At 33.7% G+C, this 1,977-nt stretch overlaps 1 annotated feature.

Annotated features, from left to right (window-relative positions):
- Nucleotides 1,618-1,697: an enhancer, noted in NCBI's record as "active region_3755". NCBI's record gives its function as "activates an Ori minimal core promoter by ATAC-STARR-seq in GM12878 lymphoblastoid cells {active_cell/tissue: GM12878}" and the evidence as "EXISTENCE:reporter gene assay evidence [ECO:0000049][PMID:35858748]".

Below are 1,977 nucleotides of genomic sequence, written 5' to 3' on the forward strand. Positions count from 1 at the left end.
GAAAATTACGCAGTCACTTGAAAATGTTTAAATTGAGATGTAATTTTTAATAATAAATTTAAATACTTGCAAAATATATAATTTTGAAATTGTTATAAATACTGACATTTACAAAATAAAACTGTGATGCCATTCTTTCAAAAGTGGTATCAGATAACCATTACCATCTATTTTTTTTTAAAATACACAAGCAGTTTTTCTTTAACATTTGGAAAAATTTACCTTGTTTCCTTTTTTGTTTTGACTTGTATTTCCATTCCACTTTATTACTGAAGTTTATAGTAACATTTTTATGCTTGAATATCTTTTATTGACCACTGTAACATATTGTTACAGAAATGTGTATATAACGAAAAACTGAAAAAGTATTTTTCTTATAGCTTTAAGATGGTGAGGATTAAAACATTTTTCTTGATTTAAAAAATTATTACCACTTTAAGTGGTAATTTAAATATTAGCAATTCCTCTTTAATTACTACTAAATTACTGTTGATCAAAAGCTAAATGTATTACAAAGTTTCATAAGTAATTATTAAATGTAAAATTTTATCAAGAATGCATCTTTTAATTAATGAGAATTTTTCATTCATTTAGTTTATATATCCAGAGATGAACATTGTTTACTGCTAAAATGAAACCGGGTTCACCGTAAATTCATAGCAAAATAAACAGAAGGAGGCTACCAGTAGTACAAGGCTTACCAACAGTATATTAATGATGAAGTGTATTTTTTACAGTAAAATCCATGACATATACCTGTTATGTAAATTTAATAAGTACATGATAAGAATGAACAAATGAGTGAAGAATTGGTTGATGGATAACAGTTAGCAGGGACATTGAGTCCAAATAAAAAGTGTATATAGATTTATAGTATCCAATAATTTTGTCAAAGGGAATGGAAATCTTTCTCAGCCTGAATAAATGTTTAAGAAAATATAAAACACTAATTTATTTTTAACCTAAGTTTACTTTACTTAAAAGTGTAATATTGATCTACAGGAGACAAACATGGACGTTCTTACCTCCTCCCTTCTCAAACTTGCAAATAATGCAGGTGAGCCCAGTAAATAGAAGCAGTCACCAAAGTCTTTCTCCTTTCTCAGAATGAGAAATCCGGGCTGTGCTTCTCAACACACTGGTGTTTCCCAGATTGCCTTTTGCAACTCCTGAATATTCTTACATGGGTAAATACCAAAACTTTGTCATGAGTTCACTGTCCCAGTGAAATACAACACCAACACCCTCTGTATTTCTTACCTGTTTTGCTCTCACAGGACTCCCCACTCAGGAGTGATGTGTACTTTAACAATCAGGAGAAGTAATAGAAGAGATCATTAAACAAAAATTGTCCTGCCAACCCACTCTACAATATATCTGAATTCAGATCATTCCTTCATGGGTCAAAAGACCATTTCTAATTCCACTAGCTTTGCCAGATTTAACAAACTCACACACACATACAAATGTACATGATGCCCAGTTAAATTAAAATTTCAGTAAATGACAAATAATTTTCTAATATAAGTATGGGAGAAAAAGATGGCGAATAAGGAAGTGGGAACTTGCATGTGGCTCTCAGGCTGTCAATATTAGGATCTGAAAACCGATTCCTTTAACAACCATTCATACTGAAAAAGCCTCTGTTTGTGTGTGCATGCACATGTATAGGTAGGTGCTCTCATGTGTGTTTTTGAGTGCATGCATGTGAGTGTATGTTGGTAGGGGGGCGTTGGTTCAGTGCATTTACCCTAATTTGAAGACCAATGTCCTGGGAGGGGCAGGGCTCCCCAGCAGGTCTGCATTAAATGGGGACATGGGTTGTGATTTATGCCACAAGATACTGACCTCCTTAGCCCTTAGGGCAGCCGTGGCTTAGAGGCACAGTAACATCTGGCAGGGCAATCCAAGGGAAAAAGGTTGGGAAGCCCCATATGGAAGCTATTCTCACTAATGTGCAAGGTGACACAACCATAA

The sequence above is a fragment of the Homo sapiens genome, chromosome 10, assembly GCF_000001405.40.
Source record: "Homo sapiens chromosome 10, GRCh38.p14 Primary Assembly".
Taxonomy (NCBI): domain Eukaryota; kingdom Metazoa; phylum Chordata; class Mammalia; order Primates; family Hominidae; genus Homo; species Homo sapiens.